The 22,938-nt window shown below is 41.4% G+C and overlaps 1 protein-coding gene across 2 annotated transcripts in view, besides 1 other annotated feature; it reads right to left on the reverse strand.

Moving 5' to 3' along the window:
• FRMD4A (FERM domain containing 4A) overlaps nt 1–22,938 on the reverse strand; it is a 687,219-nt gene that overhangs the window by 610,049 nt on the left and 54,232 nt on the right. The gene's annotated exons all lie outside the window — the stretch shown is intronic.
• Nucleotides 1,948–2,157: a silencer, noted in NCBI's record as "fragment chr10:14297701-14297910 (GRCh37/hg19 assembly coordinates)". NCBI's record gives its function as "represses an EF-1alpha promoter that drives an FKBP-Casp9 reporter gene in an ReSE screen in phorbol 12-myristate 13-acetate-treated (for megakaryocytic differentiation) K562 erythroleukemia cells {active_cell/tissue: K562(+PMA)}" and the evidence as "EXISTENCE:reporter gene assay evidence [ECO:0000049][PMID:32094911]".

A 22,938-nucleotide genomic window follows, 5' to 3' on the forward strand; every position in this document is an offset into this window, starting at 1 on the left:
CCCTCCTCTTATTGTTTTGCTCTTGGTTTCTCTAGGACCAAGGACGGGGTGAAGTGTTGAGTGGGGAAGCTCGCTGAGACAGCAAGAATCTTGCTTGGCAGGTAATGTTGTAATTTGGTTTATGAATCCTCTGTGGGTCAGTTGTGCAAATGCCAGCTTTCTCTCTCTCTCACAGGTCCCAGGAGAGACCTTTCGACACCTCCAGCTTGCAGTTCCCCTCTGCAGACGATACACTTTCTCACTAACCTCTCATGACTCTCCCTACGCTAGTTTCCTCTGTTGGCTTCTGTGATGCTCACTGGCTCAAGGGAAAATGCTATGTCTTTGCCCTTAAACTCTGGAGGTACAGGCCACCCCTCCCCACCTCAGCCCTCCATTGAACTCCAATCAGCATTTCACCCCTAGACATTCTTCCAAGTAAAAATCCATGGAACATGATGGCACCTTCCTCCTACTTCAACTCCAGGAACCAAGGTCAATTTCTTCCAGAAACTCATCACTATACACCCTTAGGTGGGCCTATAGGATTTCTCCGGTTCTGTATGCATCTATTGAGGATGATATGTCAGGTTCTCTTTCTGGAAAGTAACCATACTCTCTACGAGTAATTCTTTTTAAATGTCGTTTGCTTTGTCTGAGGTGGAAGAAGGACATCCTTCAGAAGGGAGAACACAGGACACCCTGACAACTCTCTCCAAGGAAATCTTGGCTCTTCCTCACCAGCACAATCTCTCCTCTTATGTATTGGGCTTGAAGTGGGAGCCAGCTAATGCTGGAAGATCCAGTTTGGATCACATGTTTTCCTGTGGATACGCCTAGCACCTTTCTTTACAATGTGGGGTTCTTGCCAACTTCTTAACCTCAAATATTTTTAAAAGCCTAGTATTTGCAAAAGAAATGCCTTGCAAGTTGTATTACTTCTCATCTATCATAAAAATAACAGATGAGAAGTAATACAATTTTCAAAGCATTTCTTTTGCAAATATTAGGCTTTTAATGTGCACATGTACCCTAAAACTTAAAGTATAATAATAATAAAATCGAAAAAAAATAATAGCCTAGGTTTTAAGGGGAAGAGTAGATAAGGTAGTAATGCAGGAAGAGCTTGTACAAATGTTCAAGAAAAATTCCTCTTTCCATAAAGTCTTCTGAGACTTGAGGGAGAATTCCAGTCAATCAATCCCAGTCCCTAAAGTCTTAACTTAATTTGCCTCCAGACTGCTCAACTTCCTATTAAGAATGGCATCTGGCTTGTAACCCATCAAGCAAACTCTACCAGCTTTCCACTGAAATGCCTGTGGAGTAGGAGAAAAGGTTAAGAATGTGCAACCGTCTCAAAATCAGCAGTGGCTATCTGTTGGTTGCTAAAATCTGGAAGAATTTCCATTACCTGCAAAAATGATAGAAAATGCCAGCAAATGAACTAAACCATCTGCTAAAAGGTGAAAGAAAAATCATTCCTCCCTCTCCTATTGTCTTCTTTCTCTGCTTATAAATCTGGACCAAGCTGAAAGCCAGACAACTTCCTCTGTTGCCTCGTTGCTGCCTTCTAACATAGCCACAGTGCTACCCATATCAGCTGTCTTCCACATGTGGACAGAGTAATTCTCAGGAAAACATACGAGGCATGAACTAGGATAGAAACTGGTAACAGGACATTATATTAAAATATGGTATCAAAAGGGAAGACCTGTAGATGGGGACACAAGAAGAGCCCTGGTTGCACCGCATACTTGGAATTGTACATTTTAATGCACCACGATGTTCAGAGTTTCAGAGACCAATGCAGCAAGGGCAGGAGACAATCAGATGAGCACAATTGCCCTTGCCAGATGCTGAGAATTAAGCTATGGCGGAAGACATAAACCTGCCCTCGAACTGCAGCTGTGAAAAAGAGATTAGTCCAGCCACCAGAAAACAAGTCATTGAAAAGACTAGAAGAAAAAAATTGAGTTTAAATTTTGGTTGCCAGGCTGGGCGGTGGCTCATGTCTGTAATCCCAGCACACTGCGAGGCCGAGGCAGGTGGATCACTTGAGGTCAAGAGTTCAAGACCAGCCTGACCAACATGGTGAAATCCAGTCTTTGCTAAAAGTACAAAAATTAGCCGGGTGTGGTGGCCTGCACCTTTAATCTCAGCTACTCAGGAGGCTGAGGCACAAGAATCACTTGAACCGAGAATGCAGAGGTTGCAGTGAATCAAAATCACGCCACTGCACTCCACCCTGGGTGACAAAGCAAGCCTCCATCTCAAAAAAAAAAAAAAAAAATTTGTTGCCAAAAGGAAATAAAACAATTTTTTAAACTACAGAATTAATAAGCAATTTTAGTAACTGACTAGAAAAAGGACAAATGTACCAAAAACATTTATGTTCCTATCTACCAGCAAAAACTGATTTTTAAAATATAATAGGAAAATATTTATAATAGACGGCAATAATTGAAAAATATCTAAGAATGCATTGCTAAGAAGAAATATGTAATAGAAACCCAGATGATGAAAACTATAAAGCTTTAATGAAAGATATAAAAGACTTACAAAAAAGAAGTTCTATACAAATTTCTCTATGGCATGACTGTAATTCAAAAAGTGACAGTTCTCCCCCAAATCATGCATTGGTAAAATGCTATTCCACTAGAAATTACAATGGACTGGACTCTAATAATTTCAAAATAATTATTTTAAAACCCATCTTGAAGAATAAGCAGAGAAAAAATGAAAAGTGATGGAAAATTTTTCTAAATTTTTCATGGCAATTATAATGTTATAAAGAATATAAGAGTGTAGTGTTGCTACAAATCTCAAAAGAGTAATAGAATAAAATGGTCATTGAATTGGCCCTAACATACATGCTTATAAAACCTTATTATATTGTAAAGGAAATAACACAAAAAAGTGCATGAGAGAAATTATTCCACAAACGGAATTTTTGTTAAAGTATATGTGGGCTGGGTGCAGTGGATCATGCCTATAATCCCAACACTTTGTGTGGCCAAGGTATAAGGATTGCTTGAGGCCAGAAGTTTGAGACCAGCCTGGGCCACACAGCGAGACTCTGTCTCTTCAAAAAATTTTTTAAAATAAAAATAAAAAATAAATGTATATGTAATAACATATACATACTTACATGAAGTTTAAACATGCATGCATGTATAGAGCAATTTAAGAAAATAAAATAAATACTAGGCAGTAGGAGAAGAAAGGGATATTGTTTATTTGGGGAAAAAAATTTATAGTGTAACCAGATACCATACTCCAAAATTTACTCTAGATTTTTGAAAGTTAATTAACTGGCTGGGTGTAGTGGCTCACACCTGTAATCCCGGCACTTTGGGAGGCCAAGGATGGGATGGATCACTTGAGATAAGGAGTTCGAGACCAGCCTGGCCAACCTGGTGAAACCCCACCTCTACTAAAAATACAAAAATTAGCTGGGCGTGGTGGCCAGTGCCCATAATCCCAGCTAACCAGGAGGCTGAGGCACAACAATCACTTGAACCCAAGAGGTGGAGGTTGCAGTGAGCCGAGATCGTGCCACCACACTCCAGCCTGGGTGACAGAGCAAGACCCTGTCTCAAATAAAAAGAAAGTTAACAAACTGGAACAAAGCAGAGGTTAATATATAAACTGATCTCAGTATGAACAAGGACCTTAAAAAAATAAAAGCAATGAACCAAATCACAGAGTATAAGCTATGTATATGGTCAGTGGATTTTTAGCAAAGGTGTGCAAGTAATTTTTGTATTGAGTTGAATGGTATCCCCTCGAAAATGCATGTGTACCTGGTGCCTTACAATGTGATCTTATTTAAAAACTGGATATTTGCAGGTGTAATTAGTTAAGATGAGGTCATATTGGATTTAGTGTGGGCCCTAATCCAATGACTGGTGTCCTTACAAGAAAACAGAGACACGGAAACATACACAGAGGAAAGGCTGTCATGTGAAGATGGAAGCAGAAATTGGAGTGATGTGCCTGCAAGCCAAAGCACTGCTTAGGAGTGCCACCCGCCACCAGAAGCTAGAAGAGAAAAGAAAGCATCCAAACCTAGAGTCTTCAGAGAGCTTGGCCTTGCCAACTTGATTTCAGACTTCCAGCTTCCAGAACTGTAAGAAAACAACTGTCTGCTGTGTAAAGCCACCCAGTTTGTGGTCATCTGCTAAAACAGCCTTTGAAAACTAATACAAGGTGCAATGGAGAAAGGAAATCTTTTTTATATATGCTGCTAATATTGGATAGCCAGACACAAAGGTAAAACTTGACTATTATCTTACACTATATATAAAAATTAACTCAAAACGTGTCATATTCTGGAACACTTTTAGAATACAATGAAGATAAAAATCTTAGTGACCTTGGGTTTGGAAAAGATTTCTAAAATAGGACACAAGAGCACAGACACTAAAAAAAGAAATACATTTTACTTCAAAAAATATAGAACTTATACTCTTCAAAAAAGAAGAGTATTATATTACATAATATTATTTATTATATTACATAATAAAAGGCAAGTCACAGACTGGGAGAAAATATTTATAAAATGTATATTTGATAAAGGGGTTTTAACTAAAAAAAAAAAGAACTCTCAAAATTATATAATAAGACAAACAACCCAAACAAAAAAATGAACAGATGATTTTAACAGACATTTCATCAAAGCAGATACAAGGATGGCAAATAAGCACATGAAAAAATCCTCAGCACCACGCATTATTAGGAAAAAGCAAATTAAATTCACAATGAAATACTACCACACATCTATCCGAATTGTTAAAGTTGAACAAACTGATCATACCTAGCGTTGGTGATTATGTGGAGAAACTGGAACGCTCATGCACCACAGGTGAAAATGTAAAATGGTACAGTAACATTGGAAAACAGTTGGGTAGATGACCCAATCATTTTATACCTAGGTATTTACTTAAAAATGAAAGCTCATGTTCACACAAAGACTTGAGCAGAAACGTTCATAGTTGTTTTATTTGTGATAGCCAAAAATCAGAAAACAACTCAAATTTCCACCAATGGTTGAACAGATAAACAAAACCATGCAAGGAAATACTACTTAGCCATAAAAATAAATATTGACACATGTGACAATATGGATGAATTTCAAAATAATTATGCTGAATGAAAGAAGTCAGCAAAAAAGAGTACATGTTGCATGAATCTATTCATAAAAATATTAAGTAGTGGAAACTACTGTATAAAATCAGAAATCAGATCAGCAGTTACTGGGGATGGTGAGGGGTGTGAGGGAGGGATTACAAAGGGGGCAAAAGGAAATTTCTTGGAACAAGGGATATGTTCACTTTTATTATTATAGTGATGGTCTAATACATATGCCAAAACTCTTCAAAAACTGTATACTTTAAAAATGTTCAGTTTACTATACATTAATTATGCCTTGACAAACCTGTAAACAGTAACAGAATCATAAAAAGGTAAATGGCAAACAATAAGAAGTACTTGTAATAAGAATGACATGTAAATGGTAATTTACCTAATGTAAAAAGTGGCCTCACAAATTCATAAGAATACAAAACCATCTCAAAAAAGTTAAAAGTGTAAACACACCATTCACTATTGAAGAATATACAAATCTTTAATAATTATATTACTGAAATAAATATTATTTAAACCAATGATTTTCCTGTCAGTTCTCATTTATAAAAATGGCATTTTTTCAATTTTAATAATAAATGCTGATGATGCAGTGAGATCAGTATTCATACTCCTGCAAATGTAATATGATTCAAAAAGCTACTCAGGGAAGCCATCTGCCAATATCATTAAAATCTTCATACCTCTAGGTATTGAAATCTGGGGCTATTTTAACTTTTTTCTTTATAATTTCTTCTATTTACTTTTTAAACATCAACCACAAATTTTTTAGTCAGAGAAAATATTCTTTAAAAAGAAAATGTTTGACTTCACTTCATTTTGCAAATTTACATGCACAAAGAGTTGGTTGCACCTTCCAGGTCTCCTTCTCTATTGACTGCTATTTTTCCATGCAGGGTAAGGGACACGGCTCATTGTCATCATGGAATCCTCTTTGCCATGGCTGTTAGGATGGACACCATGACAACCACATTGCCCACAGCTACATGGCTCCAGCTGTTTCTCTCACTTATGCCTCTACCTCTTCCTAACACCATGGAGACTGTTGTCAGGGATGTTAAGTCTTTGAGGAATGCAATACTCACGTCTTCAGAAAAAAAGAATCTCTAAGGATCTCTGTGTCATAGATATAGTCTAGAAATGGCAAAAAAAAAAAAAAAAATCCCATCTCCTTTTTTATTTTTTGGCAGCTAACCCAGACTTAAAGGGAAGGCTATCACTTGACATTGTGCAGGAGGGAGAACATCGTGGAAAGAAGAAGACATGATGTGTGCCAGAGCCCTCGGCAGGTGCAGTTTGGCTCCAGACCCCAGCATGCCATGATCCAGCTTACAACCGCTGCATTCTCTCCCTTTTGTACTGCACGGACTCTCATGTGCTTTAAGAGGAATTGGAGTTTGGCATGAGGATCTATTTATCCTTGAGTAAACTAGCAGAGTTTTAGTTCCCACAAGCAAAACTATCCAGCAGAGAAAGACTGTCCAGTCTGCAAATATTGACACCACATGGTGGCTGTGTCAACAGGTCAAGCCACAGAACAGCTGCAATGATGCAGAGAAGGCATGAAATGTCCTCTCGGGCTCAGGGTTCACACACAGACCCAATCAAAGGCATATAAGTCATCCTACATGCTCATTAAATCACAAGTAAAGAGTGTTTCCTTTCATGGCATGGCACCTCAAGGACAGGGTTGAATAATTTTTAAGATTATAACTGAAGCCTGAGCAATCACAATTCAAAGCACATTCTGATCTTCACCACTTCAAATTGGGCCACTCCTGGCTATCTCCCATCAGTAGACGAAAATATTCACAACCACACAGCCAGAACCTTTGCCTTTGTTCTTAATAGAAACACCCAGAGATGATGAAACAGGAATTTTGTTAAGGCAAACTATTTCCTTAACTATAAAAGTGTATTAAAAATAAAACATGAATATGGGTAAAAACCTGGATGCTTCCCCAAGGACCAAAGCAAACAGAGTGGCATAAAATTCAGAATGTTGGATTCTGAGTAGACACCTGGGGTCAGGCTTGGCCACTAACTCCATTGGGCACATTGTCCACCTCCATGGGTCTTAGTTTTTTCTCTGGTAAAATGAGTGTGTGGAGGTGATCTCTAAAATCTTTGTACCTAAGCATCTAGGGGGAATTCACATACAAAATGGGATCTGGTCAATAAACATATGGGACTGAGAGGAGTTAGAGTCTGGCTTTGAGCCATAAAGCAGTCTATGGTGTCTTTGATCCAGGTAGTACCCAATCCTTCCTTCCCTGGGGCAGTTCGCCTCATGGTTCAGCCTTGGAGAGAGTGGCTGCGTGGAACCATGATTTAGGAGGATGTCAAAACATCATGATTAAACATTTGCAAATATGATCACCATTATATTTGCTTATGTGCTTGATTATAAATTTCCTATACATGATGGGTTAAATAGCTATTTGGAGAGTGAATTAATTAATGAGTGAATGAATGAAGTGTGCAGAATTCCGTGGGCCATGTTTTAATGTAACTAATCTGACTGCTGTTGTCTACTTGGGTATTCAGTTTTCCTGAACTGAAAACTGACCTGCTCACCAATGGCTCTAACGCTTCTTCTTCTCTGAGGACTCAAATTAAAGCTGCCACTTCTGTCATGAAACAGCTCTCAGAGAAGCAACTTCCCAACAGCTGCTATTCTCCAATAAATGGTCTTCCAGGGAATATGCCATTGCAATGCCAACCTATCTGATTTCAACCTGGTCTCTACAACCCTGAGGGAGGGAGGCAGTGGGCATCAGCCTAGAGAAGACCTGGGCTCTCATTCCAGCTCTGCCTGTGGTTAGTTATGCAGCTTTTGGTCCATTGTTTAATTTCTCTGGACCTTAGTGTCTTTGTCTATAACCTGAGAGGGAGAGACAGGAGGGATCGTTTTTTCCTCCTAACACTAACGTAGAAACTGTAAAGGTCTCTTAATACTTACTCTAGGTTCTTTGGTGCCAATCTGTGTCTAAAACGTAATAACTTAGGTGCTCCAACCCAGCCTCTGTTATTTCAATGTGACTCCATTTCTCACCACACCAAACACACACACACACACACACACACACACACACACACACACACACACCTCATTTTCCCTAGTTCCCCTCTCTCTGCTTCTCTGTCTCCCTCTCCACCTCTCTTTACCTGTCTTCAGCATACTTCCTCTCCCTCTGTGCAATTCCAAAATTTGAAGAGCAATCTTTGATTGATAAATGTAAAGAGTTCGGGGAAAACCCATCTTCGAGCGGCAAAACCACCACTGCAGAGAGATTTCACATTTCAGTCCCTGCCTTTCTCCAAATTTCTATATGAAAACTGAGCTAAGAGATCACTTTCCATTACCTACTTAGCCCGGTTATCTCTTCTCTTGGCCCCTGATGCTAACTAGGTAACCCTGGGTGAGTTACCCACCATCTCTGAATCCTGGTTCTGTACCATGGGGATGGCGATGCCAACTTCATGAGGTTATTGTGCATGTTAAAATTCCAGGGCTTGGCAAAGGGTAAATTCTTGCTAATTATTATATAGAAATATTAGTAATGATATTCATGACCTCTCTTGTGTGTCGAGGCTTATCTAGAAGGCACTGGAATGCAAGTATATATGGTTCTGTCAGCTCAGTCTGGCTGGCATAAGTCCAGAACTGGGTCTTCTCCTTCCTGGGGCTAAACTGCGCTCACCTCATTCTCCTGACTCAGTCCCTTGCCAGAGCTCATGAGTTAAAGACACACAAAAGGCTCCTGGGTGGTGAGGAGCAGAAAGAATTTGAAATGAGCTTCTTTTCTTCTTGCAGAGCTTCCGAGACAAATTATAAAGCTCCAGTAATGGGGAAAAACACAGAAAGAACTCCTTAGACCTGAGAGTGGTCATCTTGGGGGCCTCAGACCACCATGCTGGTTCATGAGGATGTAGGTGCACTCAGCATCAGCACAATGTAAGTCTATCTTAAAGCACATTTTCTTTTACAAGTAAATTAAACAAGTCAGCATACTGAATAGTTCTCCTACTCGCCAGGAAAACCAGAGGGCAAGCCATGAAAGAAGCAAACAACAAATGCAGCCCGTGCTGTTCTCATTCTGTCTGTCAGTGCAGGCGAGAGGGGGAAATACACCAGGTCAGTGTTCCCCTGGCCAGGATCCTTTCCCATCCTTGCTCAGAAATTTTCTTTCAGGACAAATGGCCTACGGAGAGGACCCGTGTGCGATATTCCAATGACAGTTTTAATGGAAATACAGCCATAAGGTTTGGACTGACTTGATTCTAGAAAGCAGGAAACAAATGCCCACTTTTAGGAGCTGGCATGACAGCCCGGTGGCCCAGCTTGGTTCCCTCCCCGCCAGCCCCGTCTGGGTGAAGCTCCTGCTTCGTAGAGCTCAGGCCTCTGCACAGAAACAGGGCATATGGCTTTGACTTCAGCCAGCGCAGGAGGGGGAAGGGGACGGGCCCCATAAATCACTTGCAAGGCTGCCGGCCAGACATGCTGCTAAGAATCACCCCAAATTTCCGTCGTCTTCCTTTGTTTAGGGAACTGTTTTTTTAATTTCAAGAAGTGCATCCATTCCACGTGCTCTGAGACCTCAAAATATCAACATTGCTCATTGTCAATTGCCTTCACCCCTCACTAGAAAGTTACCCTTGCCCACGATCAGCTCTGAGTCTCCTGAATCTCTTCTCCCATCACAAACTGACTGTCCTGTGCCCCAGAAAGATGCTGCTGGGACTGTAATAGAGGTGAAGCCATCAAGGATGGAAACTTTGGATCCCAGAGGTGGGCCCTCTAAGCTCCTTCGTGTTGCAGGGTTAGGGCACAAGCAGGGTACTGACAATGTTCAAGGAGGCCCCTGGAGTCGCCAGAAGATAACTATCAGGTTCTCGGTTTTCACTGCGACTGGCGCCCACCCTTGATAAACCAAAGGCAAACCCAATTGAGGCATTCCAGCAGCCAGGTCAGTTGTCAGCAAAGGCATCACAGAGGAAGGCATTTGGGGTAGATTGGAACTGGGGAATAAGCAGTCAATGGGAATCGAAAGGAAGTAGCCAGTGGAAGCAGCCCCAAGCTCTTCTCCAGTGAGCGAGCATTGCACCAACCACAAAGAGCTGCTGCATTAATTACATGTCTCCTTGCTAAGATTCGCTCCCAGAGTGTCTACGAAAACTAATGACTGCAATCACAGCATCTCTCAAGAACTTTTCACCTGCCAAGCGCTTTACAAGATTACCTCATTAATCCACTCTGCCCTCCTATGAAGCTGGTAATTATCATTATGCCCAGTTCAGAGATGGGGCAACTGGGCAGACATGAAGCAACCGCCTGAAATCCCTGGGCACATCACAGCCCACAAAGCAGAGCACAGGTCTTTGAGCCGTCTTATTTCTGTTTTATCTTTTATCCCAGGTTCCCCATTGATACAAGCAGCCCAGAAGAGGGTAGAAAATAGATGAGGTGGATCTTAATTCCATGCAACCGCTGATTAATTTCCTTTTAAAGCCATCATTCTAAAAACAACAACAACAACAAAAGTGACTGTTTTATAAATGAGGTATTGCTGGACTCTAGCCAATGACCCATTTATTGCCAAAACAATGCATTAATTCAATCAACAGATACTTATCAAATACCTCCCATATTTCAAACACTATACCATGTACTGTATACAGTGCTAACTTAGTGTAAAAAATAATATGGATGCACGTTCGATTTTGTTGTAATATTATTTAACCCAAATATAGGGAATTCCTACAGACTATTTAATTAAAATATCTATTGTTTTAAAATTCCCTTTGACCCTAACTTTTGCTTCCTCTAGATTTCATTGATACAAGAAAGAACTAATTTTTTAACACTGTAATCCATTAACATTATCCCAAGTCTTGGAAAAGAAACACTTTTTTTTTTTTAGACGAAGTCTTGCTCTGTTGCCCAGGCTGGAGTGCAGTGGCAAGATCGCGGCTCACTGCAATCTCCGCCTCCTGGGTTCCAGCGACTCTCCTGCTTCAGCCTCCTGAGTAGCTGGGACTACAGGTGCTCACCACCATGCCTGGCTAATTTTTGTATTTTTTAGTAGAGACGGGGGTTTCACCATATTGGCCAGGCTGGTCTCGAACTCCTGACCTCGTGATCCGCAAGCCTCGGCCTCCCAAAGTGCTGGGATTACAGGCGTGAGCCACTGAGCCTGGCCTAAGAAACATTACTTTTGCCCATTAATGGCTCTGAACTTTTTCTGCAGTGACTTCCATTAACTGATAGAATAAGTAGGTGTTTCTCCTCTTAGTACCCAACGTAGAGCAGGCAGCCTTCCTCGTGCCAAGGTGATAGGACAACCTAGAGTGTCAAAGATTTAGGATGTTAATTTTCATTATTATCATGGTCCTTTTTTTAAAACCTTTCCTTCAATGCCCTCAGTTTAAGGTTCTGTGAGATGAAAATGAGTTGATGTTTCATCCTTGGCTATGTCTCTAGGATCATAGTAACAAGATTTTTGTTTTGGTTTGTTTTGTAACCTGAAAGTTTCCATAAAGATCCAAGGCTGACACCTTTGTATTTATGTGATATTAAATATATGCTATTACTTCTTGGCTTAAAATTTTAAAAAGTAAATCATATGAATTTTGAAACAAGGACCCATGTACACAATTTGTAGAGGTTAGAAACTATAAGAATATAGCTTTCAAAAACTCAGTGCATTCTGAGGGTAGAAAAGCAAAACTGACGATTTCTCTAGTGATTTCTGATTATCCCAACTGGGATTAAAACCAAGTGGCCCATGTATCAACATGAGAAGGATAGAGGAATGGTTCTAGGTCATAGGATGCAGCTATGGAATTCTAGGAAATAGAGATAGTTCAGATCTGCATATTAAAATCCCAAATCAGTTCCTTCCAGAAGGGTCGGGAATGTGACTGCCCCTGTATGTACTGTTGGTTGCCAGAGCAGCTGGGAAGGGAGAGGGAACCATTTATCATAAATCCCTCCTGGGGTGCCTCATCACACCCTCTTTGTGTTGGGCAAATGCTTCACCTCTATAAGCGCAAAGGCATGGTAAAGACCTTATCACATAGAGTCATGAAGAATGAATGATCAAGGTGTCAATTGGGCCAAAATCTGCAGTTTAAAGGAGGAAGACTCAAGACTTGGAAGCAACAAACATAAATACTGCTGGGCCACTGGAACCAGTGAACTGAACGGGTGTGGGTTTCGAGCAGCTTTCCCAACCTCGGCACTGCTGACTTTCTGGACTGGTGAATTCTTTGTCCTGGGGGTGGGAGGGGGTGGGGCTTTCCCGTGCATTGTAGGATGTTAAGCAGCATACCTCATCTCTACCGACTAAAAGCCAATAGTGCCCCCGAATTGTGACAACCAAAAATCTCTCCAGTCAATGACAAATGTCCTGGGGCTGGGAAGAGGGAACAAAATAGCCCCCAATTAAGAACCACTGTTTATCCCCCAAGTACTTTTTCCCAAAGTTAGATAAAGTTTGGGGAGATGCTTTAAGATTATAAATAATATTTTCTGTTACAGTGCCATTGAACTACTAGATGAAGTAAATCTCATTTCTGCTTCATTTGATGCTTAGGATCCCTAGTAGATGTTGTGCTCTGTGTGTGTGTGTGTGTGTGTGTGTATGTGTGTGGCTATGTAGGGTTGTTTCACACAAACACTCAGAAAAACATAAAGCAGAAAAATCTGTTTGAAAAATGTTTCCCCAAAAGATTCATGATATAAAGAGAACACATTCATAAAATAAAGTTTTAAAAATGGGAGGAGAAAAAATCATGTTTTTATACTGCAGAGTATGCACTAATTGAACTGCCTTTATTTTCTTTCTTATCATAAAGAGACTCCAAGAAATGTAATTGCAAATGTAGTTTAAAGTTAATTATACTATTATAAATTATATCCTTTTACTACTTTCTGGGGAACACTAGGAATTTTAGGGTGACTAGATGTATATAAAAATACATAGAGTAGTCAATATATGACTTATAACATTGAGCTAGCATACATACAATGGGTTCCCACAATGTTTCATGGAAATAAACAAGAACAAGACTCTTTCTTCTTTGGAATTTCTAAGAAGCATTTAAGTTTTAGTGTCACTAGTGCTGTGTAATGACAAAACACATTTTATTCGAGAGACTCCGCCTGGGGCAGGCAGATAGGTGTGATTAACAGAGTTAGAACAAATGTACACAAAGAAGATATAATGGGCCTGAATTCTACAAATAGAGTCTATGGCTGAAGAGAAAAAGTGAGGTTAAGAAAGGTATGAGGTCAAGCTCTTGGGATTTTTAAAGCTATTTTTATAAATTTCATGTCTCTTTCAGACACATGACGCTCTGTGTGTGGCTGAGTTCTTGGGAACACACATCTGTCTAGAGGTTTACAATAAGGAAGAGAAGAAATAAGGAAAAAATAGAAGCAGCTCAAAGGGATGTCTTCATATATCTTCTCATTTAATTCTTATAATATCCCTGGTAAGTAGGTATTGCTCCATTTTAAAGATCAGGAAATTAGAGGCCTGGAAGTAACCTGTCATGTCAAGGAGAAAGCAAAGATGCCAGATGCCACAGCCTAAGCTCAGGTCTGTCCAATTTCAAGGCCCTTATTTTACTCATACACCATTTGGCAGTAGCCTTTCTGGTTGGAATATCTATTTTTATATATAGAATGGACTATACTCTTCATTTTCTTTCAACGTCTACAATTCAAGCAATTAGGAATTCATTTAGAATACATGAATTTAAAACTACAAATAAGTCTTGGTTCAAAATGTACAAGTCAGGTTTGCGTTGGGATAAATAAATATAAAGAGATGAGCACATTTCTCTGAATTTTAAATTTGGGTCCTTTATTTACTAACTAGGTGTCCTGGAGAATATCACTTAGCTTTGGGAAAACTCGATTGCCATATTATGACACAAGACCTAATCTAGATACCTAATCACTCTGTAGGATTGTTTTATAGGAAATAATGCATTCTAGAATCTAAATCACTGAACTACAAATGTTAGAATACAGCCTAACATTAAAACATCAGTATCTTAAATCTAGCTTTGGTGTAGTCATTCATTAGTGGGTAACTAATCTGGGTTTTAAAATTTATAAAATAATACGCCACCTATTTCATGATTGTGTTGCAGGCATCAAATGGGATAGTATATGCCAGAGTGCTCTGGAACATGATCAAAAGAGTGTCATTATTGCCATTATTATTACTTAAATAATGAGAACTAAAAAAATGAGAAATAATTACTGTGTTCTTTATCTATCATCTGTCTATATATTTGTTTTGTTTTGTTTTGCTTCAAATCTAAAATATAATGGTCAACTTATGGCACAGCTGTGAACTACAAAACAAATAAAACCTTTCAATATAAATGTTACGTAGCAAAAGGCAGTCTCTCTCAACATGATAGGCCACTTGTGCCATCCACAACAATGCCCACGACAGATCATTGAACATGATTTCTTTTTATAAATGTCATTAGTCTGATCAATGCACACCTTAGACGCTCTTTATCCATATTGCTTCAGCCTGAGATCTACTTATTTCTGCAAATAGTCCTAAACAGTGCAAATGTAATATATTGTAAGACTCCCTCGATTTATTTATTTTTTCATTCATCTTCATAAGAAAACTACAGCAGTGAAATAGCTGCAGTTCTTCACATGCTACCTACCTGCCAAGGACTCCAACAAACTAGTGAAGATTAACTAATATTTTGAGAAAGCCATTTTAAGCCTGAAATATTTGATGCGTGATGAAATCTACAACATGTCCCTATGGAAACACGAAGCTTGGGGACTCTTTATCTGCAATTCATGTGTATGCATGAGACAATCAGAAGCAATGTTCTTCCTGGGCTAAGCCAATAGCCAATAGAGATAAGTCAGCATTTCTGCTATGTGAAAACTCCCAGGGAGCTAGGCTAATTTTTCCAGAGTTTCTACGTATTTTGTGCTTCTAAACACTCCAAATCAAATGGAAGTTGGGTTAGGAAAATCTCCCCATATTTAAAGCAACAATTGGGTAATGATTACCCACTAAGCGTATGCCGTTAGGATGAAAGCCAGTGACAAAACTTTCTGAGGTTTGGGGAAAATAATTAGGGGCAGAAATGGGAAACCTCAGATATATTTCTACTTCTAGTTGATTACAAACAGAGCCATGAAGTCCCATGATAATAGCTCTGGGATGCCACTGGATTGGCAAGGCTGTGGGATGGGGTGGTGGCTATTCCTGGAGTAGTAAAGGCAACTATGTAGGCAGCATCAGTAATGCATCTATTCACAGGATCAGCACAAAATATGCTCAAAACAGCAACTGTAGCATAGGTTAGTTGTATTTGAAACTGGCTGCTTTATGAGTAGCCTGAAAATCATCCATGGTTGTATTCATTGTCTACTGCTGCTGTAAAAAATTCGTACGAGTTTAGCAGCTTAAACAACCCGACCGTATTATGTTATGGTTCTGCAGTTCAGGGTCTCAAGGGGCTAAAATCAGGGTGTCCACTGGGCTGTGTTCCTTCTGGAGGCCCTAAAAAGAACCCATTTCCTTGCCTTTCCCAGCTTCTAGAGGCCCCTGCATTCCTTGGCTCGTGGCCCCTTCCTCTGCCTTCAGAGCCAGTGGCGTTAACATCTCTCTGACCCTACTCCATTATCGCATCTCTTTCTCTGACCCCAACAGAGAAAAGTTATCTGCGTCTAAGGGATGCCATGCAATTAAGGGATGCATTGCCATGATTAGACCGGGTCCACCTGCATAATTAGGATACTCTCCACATCTCAAAGCCCTTAAGCTTAATCCCTTTTGTGAGGTCCCTATGATGGCTGATTTTGGGTGTCAATGTGACTGAATTAAGTGATAATAATTAACGGATGGTAATTAAGGGAATTAATTATTTATTTTGAATCACTGCATTAATTATTCTCAATGCTTCAGCAGGACCGAACCAGCCCCTCTCCTGCAGAAAGAGAAACCCAGGTGATTTGGCATTTGATTAGAATGTTTGAGCTGCCCCAGGGGTGGGGAAGATCTGTCCTCAGTGGGGCCCAGATGGGACGAAAAGGCTGAAGAAGGATGGATTCTTGCTCTCTCTCCTGGAGCTGCGGCACCCATCTTCTCCTGTCCTTGGATGTCAGGACTCCAGGTTTCCTGGCTTTGGGACTTCAGGAAGAAAACCAGTGGCCCCCCAGGCTTTTGGGCCTTTGGCCTCAGACTGACTGAGAGAGATACCATCATCTTCTCTGGTTCTGAAGCCTCTGGACTTAGACTGAGTTATGTTATGGGTTTTTGCTGATTCTCCAGCCTGCAGACAGCCCATCATGGGACTTCTCACTGCACAGTTGAATGAGCCAATTCCCCTGATAAATTCCTTCTCGTCTCTCTCCCTAAATAGTTATCATGTCAGTTCTGTCTCTCTGGAAAACCCTGACTCAACAGTCTCTTTTGCAATATAAGGTAACATCTTCACAGGTTCTGGGGATTAGGACAAGGGCATCTTTGGGAGGCTATTATCCTATCTACCACCATGGTCTATGATCTGGAGATTTCCAAATTCCTCACCTATCCATCTTCTTAGTGGGAAATTCCTCCCACCCTCTGCAGAGAGCCATCTGGAGTTAGGCTGACCATAGCTGCAGAAGTCAGTCGGCCTGCTGCATATTAACCCTAAGAATCCATTATTGCTATTAATCATTTATACAGCCAACTCTCAAAGCTGCTCATGATAGGTGCCATTATGACAACTGTTAGAGCACAGGAAATTCTCACTTAACCCTGTGAATAGGCTCTTGGAAACTGCGACTTTAAGTGAAACAACATAAAACAGAACGATTTTCCTGTGGGCTAATTGATATACATAAGAGTGACGTTCCCACGGTACGTTTCGGGTCACAAAAACATCACCAAACTTCTAAGTAAAGACCAAATCACTCCTAATACTAAACACTTAGATAGATGTGAACTATATGTATTATGCCATTCTTAAATTGCTGCAAAGATACACTTGAGACTGGGTAATTTATAAAAAAAGAGATTTAATTGGCTCATGGTTCTGCAGGCTGTACAGGAAGTGTAACAGCGGCATCTGCTTCTGGGGAGGCCTCAGGAAGCTACCAATCATGGTAGAAGGCAAAGGAGAGCAAGTGTAACACATGGCGGGCACAGGGACAAGATTGGTGGGTGCCACACACTTTTAAATGACCAGGTCTCAGATGAACTCAGAGTGATGGCTCACTTATCACCAAGGAGATGGCCCCCATGATCCAAACACCTCCCACCAGTCTCCACCTCCAACACTGGGGATCACATTTCAACGTGAGATTCAGGCAGGGACAAATATCCACAGTACATCACTATACATACATTTTTTTAAAAGTTAGTAAAAATAAAATTATTTACCCCATTATTCCAGGTCCGGGTTGCAGGTGGCTGGAGCCCATCCCAGCAGCTCAGGGTGCAAGGCAGGGCCCAGCCCTAGATAGGATGCTATCCCTTTATAGGGCACTCACATACAAACCCACATTCACACTGGGACATGAACCTCACATGCATATCTTTGGGATGTGTGGGAAAACAGGAGGACCTGAAGAAACCCCTTGCAGACGGGTGGGAGAGTAGGCTCACTCCACACAGAGAGTGGCCTCCACCAGGAAGTGATTTTTCTTTTTCTCATCAATGTTACAAAGAAATGCTGTTGAGTGGAAAGTCATTCAAGGACCCACTGTCTAGCTGTGTTCTATTATTGCCTTCTTCTTTGTTCATCTTCTTACAATGCTGGATCTGGGATAACTTTGCATTAAATATCTTTCTTATTTAATGACTGGCATCTATAAAAATGTAAAGCTCACTGGGAAGTCAGGGAAGCATTTTTCTGCTGACCTGAAGCATGATTTGCATTTTTAAAAATGCACGTCATAAGCACTTAGCTGGAGTGAAATAAACTTGCAGTGCTCTCAGAAACTGAAGCGTGGCCAATGTCACGGCATTTATGAAGTCTTATCAGTGGAACTCTTGTGGCTGTTACCTCATAATTAGCTTACTCAGTACATTATAATTAATTTTTATAATAATTTAATTTAGTTAATAATTAATTTTTTGGTTCTTTTGCCCAACCACACTGGCAAAGAAAATCAGAAAAAAAACCTATATTGATCAGGTTAGGATAGGCCATACAGCAGCATGAACAAATCCTGATATCCCAAAACAATCTAATAAAATAAAGGTTTGTTTTTTTTCTCATGTAAAGGTCAATGCAGCTCAGGTAAACTTACCCCAGCTTGCAGTTATGCCATTAGGAAAGCATAGTTGCCAAGCTGGATGGAAAGACATGGAATGGCCATGCTGGCTCTGAACCCCTCAGCTAGAAAGGGACACATGTCACTTTCCCCCACAACCATTGGCCAGAAGGAATCACATGACCCTAACCTGCATCCAGAGGAGACCAGGTAGTCCAGGGGTGCACACGGTCATGGGGTGAGGGCTATATGTCTCTGCCAATCTATGACCGTCATCCCTTTCACTGACTTCATTGACCTTATTGTGAAAGATGACGAAATGGAGGTCAAAGTCATCTGTAGCCAAACCGACCAAGACACTCTCCATCCTAACACGTCTATTACCAACCTGACATTTTGCTTCTCTAGAATTTCCTAAAGGTAGGATCACTTTCTCTCTCTAAGACCAATTCTCTCAAGAATTTATAAGAAAAGAGGTTTAACTGGCTCATGGTTCTGCAGGCTGTACAGGAAGCATAACAACCTAGTGCAGCTACATTCCATTAAAGTCATGGCAATTTCAGTGAGTGACACTTTGAAGCCACATCATTTGTCTTTCTCTGGCTGACTTTCCTTGAAGGTGGTCAGGAATATTGACTTGCCTTAATCTCTTACTTCACAATGGGGCTTGAATTTCACTTTCTCAGATGTGTTTGAGGTTAGTATTTGAACCAATTTGATTTATGAATATTTTACTCAAATAGACGTCTTGGTCTTTGAAATATCTTCCTATTGCCTTTTAAAAGCATCTTGGCTGGACACAGTGGCCTGCACCTGTAGTCCCAGCACTTTGGTAACCTGAGGCAGACGGATTGCCTGAGCTCAGGAGTTCAAGACCAGCCTGAGCAACATGGCCAAACCCTGTCTTTACCAGAAATACACACACACACACACACACACACACACACATGCACACACACACACATACAAATAGGCATGGTGGTGCATACCTGTGGTCCCAGCTACTCAGGAAGCTAAGGTGGGAGGATTGCTTGAGCTTGGGAGGTGGAGGTTGCAGTGAGCCAAGATTGCACCACTGCACTCCAGCCTGGGTGACAAAGTGAGAACCCGCCTCAGAAAAAAAATATATATATCTTTTTAGGGGGCAATGAAATAACCAATTCTGCCATCTTAGAGAGCTTGGGTGATTTGAAGTTACATGGCCAGATTTAGAAAAGTAGGGACGCCCCTTTATTCCGTTGATCTATGTTCAAACATTCAACTTTCATCTCCTACTCATAACACTTACTTCTTACAACATTGCAAAAATTATTTTTCCAAATGAAATATTAAAATTAGTAATATTAATGGGTCAGCTCATGTAAGCTGATGATTTTTTTTTAAGTGAATGAAATTAGCAGTCTACTCTGCTCATCTTTTCAGATTGGAACAGAGCCTGGATTAAGATAGAAATGAATTCTAACCTCTTCATAAACTCTTCCAGATTCAAACACTAGACACAGACATGGCCAGAGATATGATGAGCTCTAATCTCCACACACCTATGGCTCGAGGTTCTAGGTGGTCAATGGAGTCTCCAGGGTTCTTGTTTGCAATGGGGCTCCAGGTCCTCCAGGAAGAGTGGAGAGGAGGACTTTGGGTCCTTTGATAAAAATTGATGGATATTGAGAGCCAGGCTGTCTCATAGAAAAGTTGAGATTTATTTAGTCAATCAACAAACACTTTTGAGCACTTACTAGTGCAGGGCACTGTGCTGGAATCTCTTATAGAACAATCAGTTACATGAAGAATAAAACATCAACCCTGACCTGTGAAGGGTGGAGACTGGTGAGAAAGAGGATGCTGAGGGAGATGGTGGGGGGAGAAATGAACTCCAAAAAATAATTATGACGAATGCTCAATTCCATGGAGAAAATAAAAAGCGTGTTCGTGCAGAGAATCCCAAAGGGAGGTGCTGTGTACAGACAAGGAATGTGCCTTGAAGCAAGGCCTGGAGGAAGGGCTGGGTCCTGCCCTGAACGCAGTCAGAGAGGTGCCAGGCAGGCCGCCACTGGCCATCATCTCAGGCCTGGGGCAGCCACCCATGTAAGTCGATCCCTAGAGGGATGGCAGAACTTGACGACAACTCTCTGCCCTATCTCTTAGCAGATTACGATCACCATGAACATTCTTGAGGACAACCCCAGTTCTAAGCTCTTCCTATGCATGATACAGTTAAGGAAACGGAGAGGTGAGGTAACCCACCTCAGGTCACATAGTGGTGGATCCAGAGCCCACACTCTTATCCACTCTGCCACTTCACTAGTAGAGAGGTGTGGTTCGCTCTGAGGAAAGGAAAAGCTCATAGGAGATCTCGAAACTTGGGGACAGGAGGAAGGAGTTCCAGCCAGTTCCTGGAAAGCTGTTAGAGCTGCCGCCCCAGTGTGGCTGCAGACAAAGATTCTCACTGAACCAGGGCTCTTGATATTTCTCCAAGGCTGGAAACACAAAGGCTGAACCTCCGCCAGGGACGCTGAAGGGAGAATTGGAAAAATGAAGGGACAAAAGAGGAGGATCCTCTCCCACCTCTTAGAAACATGATCATTAATGTATTGCTCAGCCAGGTGTATTTTTCAAATGCCTCCTGTCCAGCCCAATTCCACGTCTTGGTAGCACCCGGCAAGTCCCTGACTTAGCCAGTCAGACAGGGCTGCACCAGGGATGCTCCCAGGAGTCACCTGACCCTTCCTTTTCCAGGTCCTCACCCTTCTGCTATTTCGGTTTGGCATCTGAATTCTGAATAAGTTCTTACTCCTGTCCTTGAGTCTTCACACGGAAATTTCAGTTTTCAGGTTGACTTCTGTCTCTCCCACAAGGTGTGATCTTAGACTGTTCTAGCAGGTCTGCCCTGTTTGCAACAGTCTCTGGTGTACACTTCCTGCCCTGGTCAATCCTTCAAAACCCAAACTGTGACTCTAGCTGCTGGTCAGCACCAGTCTATTCCCCCTGAATTCTCCTGGGTGTCAGGCTCTCTGTCCCACTCCAGATTCATGGAGACCATACAGGAAGCCTCTCTTGACTCTGACCTCCCAGGACTTATAGTCAAGTCATAGCAACTAGACCGACTCAAGGACAGTAACAGCGATTGCCAGAATCCCAGCTGCTCCCAAACAGAATTAGACACTTAAAAATCCACTTAAACTTTATAAGAAGAGTCTAAACACTGGACAATGTTACATGGTGGAGATGGGCAAAACACATCGGGGTGAGTGTATCGCAACCTTATCTTTCCTTTTAACCAAAATGTCCAGACACAACTTGTGTTTCCATAAGCACCCACATGGTTGGTGGCTATCTGAATATTTTAAGGCTAGGCACAAATGTTAGGCAGTGCAAAGAAAGGGAGAAAGGATGAAGAAAAACATCCAAGGGCAGATAATAAAGCCAGTTTACACTTTCAGATGGCATTTCTTAAGTTCAGTTCGTTTTAAAGTTTTTTTCCTTTTCTTATGTATAACTAGACTTCCATGAGATGGTCAAGGTGGTTAACTGCAAGCATCTCTGAATTTAGGTAAAGCGTTAAGCCTTTTTTCTCAAGAGTCCACCCCTGTCTTCAAAAATACAAAATGGTGAGTGGCCGGGAGTGGCAGCTCACATCTGTAATCCCAGAACTTTGGGACGCTAAGGAAGGAGGATCGCTTGAGTCCAGGAGTTCAAGACTAACCTGGGCAATACAGCAAGACCCCATCTCTACAAAAAACACAAAAATTAGCGAGGAGTAGTGATGCATGCCTGCAGTCTCAGCTACTCAGGAGGCTGAGGTGGGAGGATCACTTGAGTCTGGAGGTGGAGGCTTCAGTGAGCTATGAATGTGCCACTGCTCTCCAGTCTGGACAACAAGGAAAGACCTTGTCTCAAAAAACAAAAACAAACAAAATGACAGAATGAATCAGGAGACCTGTCTCTGGTCCTGGCCCTGTTGATGCTTGGCATTCGTCAAATCACATGACCTCTGGGGGATAGTTTTTTCCCACCGGAAGACAGTATTTTATATTAGTCAACTTGCAAGGTCCCTTTTCGTTCTAAAATTCCTGCCTCACTGTCATGCCTGCCAGATGCTGCCTGTGACACTGGCCATGAAAGGGCACTGGGTTGCTCATGAGAGCTGTGGAGGAAGAGTTGGAAAGAAGCTACGTGTGACCAGCTTCATGAACTGGTACAGCTTTGACTCAACTTGGCAACTTCCTCTGTGTGGCCTCCCAAGAAGGGCCACAAGAGCCACTTGGCACAAACCTCACCACACGTCTTTTGCTTTACTCCTGCCTCTCAGGGAACCTATTCAGTGGGAAATCTCCCTTGAGAATCTCTTAATGAAAAGGCCCCAGTCATGTGGCCTTTTGGCTCAGGAACTCCGTGTCCCCATTTTAAGGTACAATTTGCCACTTTGGCCCTCTGCCTCTGGCTTCCGTTCCTGCCCAGGGAAGCCCAAAGTTGGGTAAAATTGTGTGAGAAGAGATAGCCCCTACATGGGGCCCCACAGCCAGAAGGAAACAGATGAGAGGATCCTCGCA

The sequence above is a fragment of the Homo sapiens genome, chromosome 10 (genome assembly GCF_000001405.40).
Source record: "Homo sapiens chromosome 10, GRCh38.p14 Primary Assembly".
NCBI lineage: Eukaryota > Metazoa > Chordata > Mammalia > Primates > Hominidae > Homo > Homo sapiens.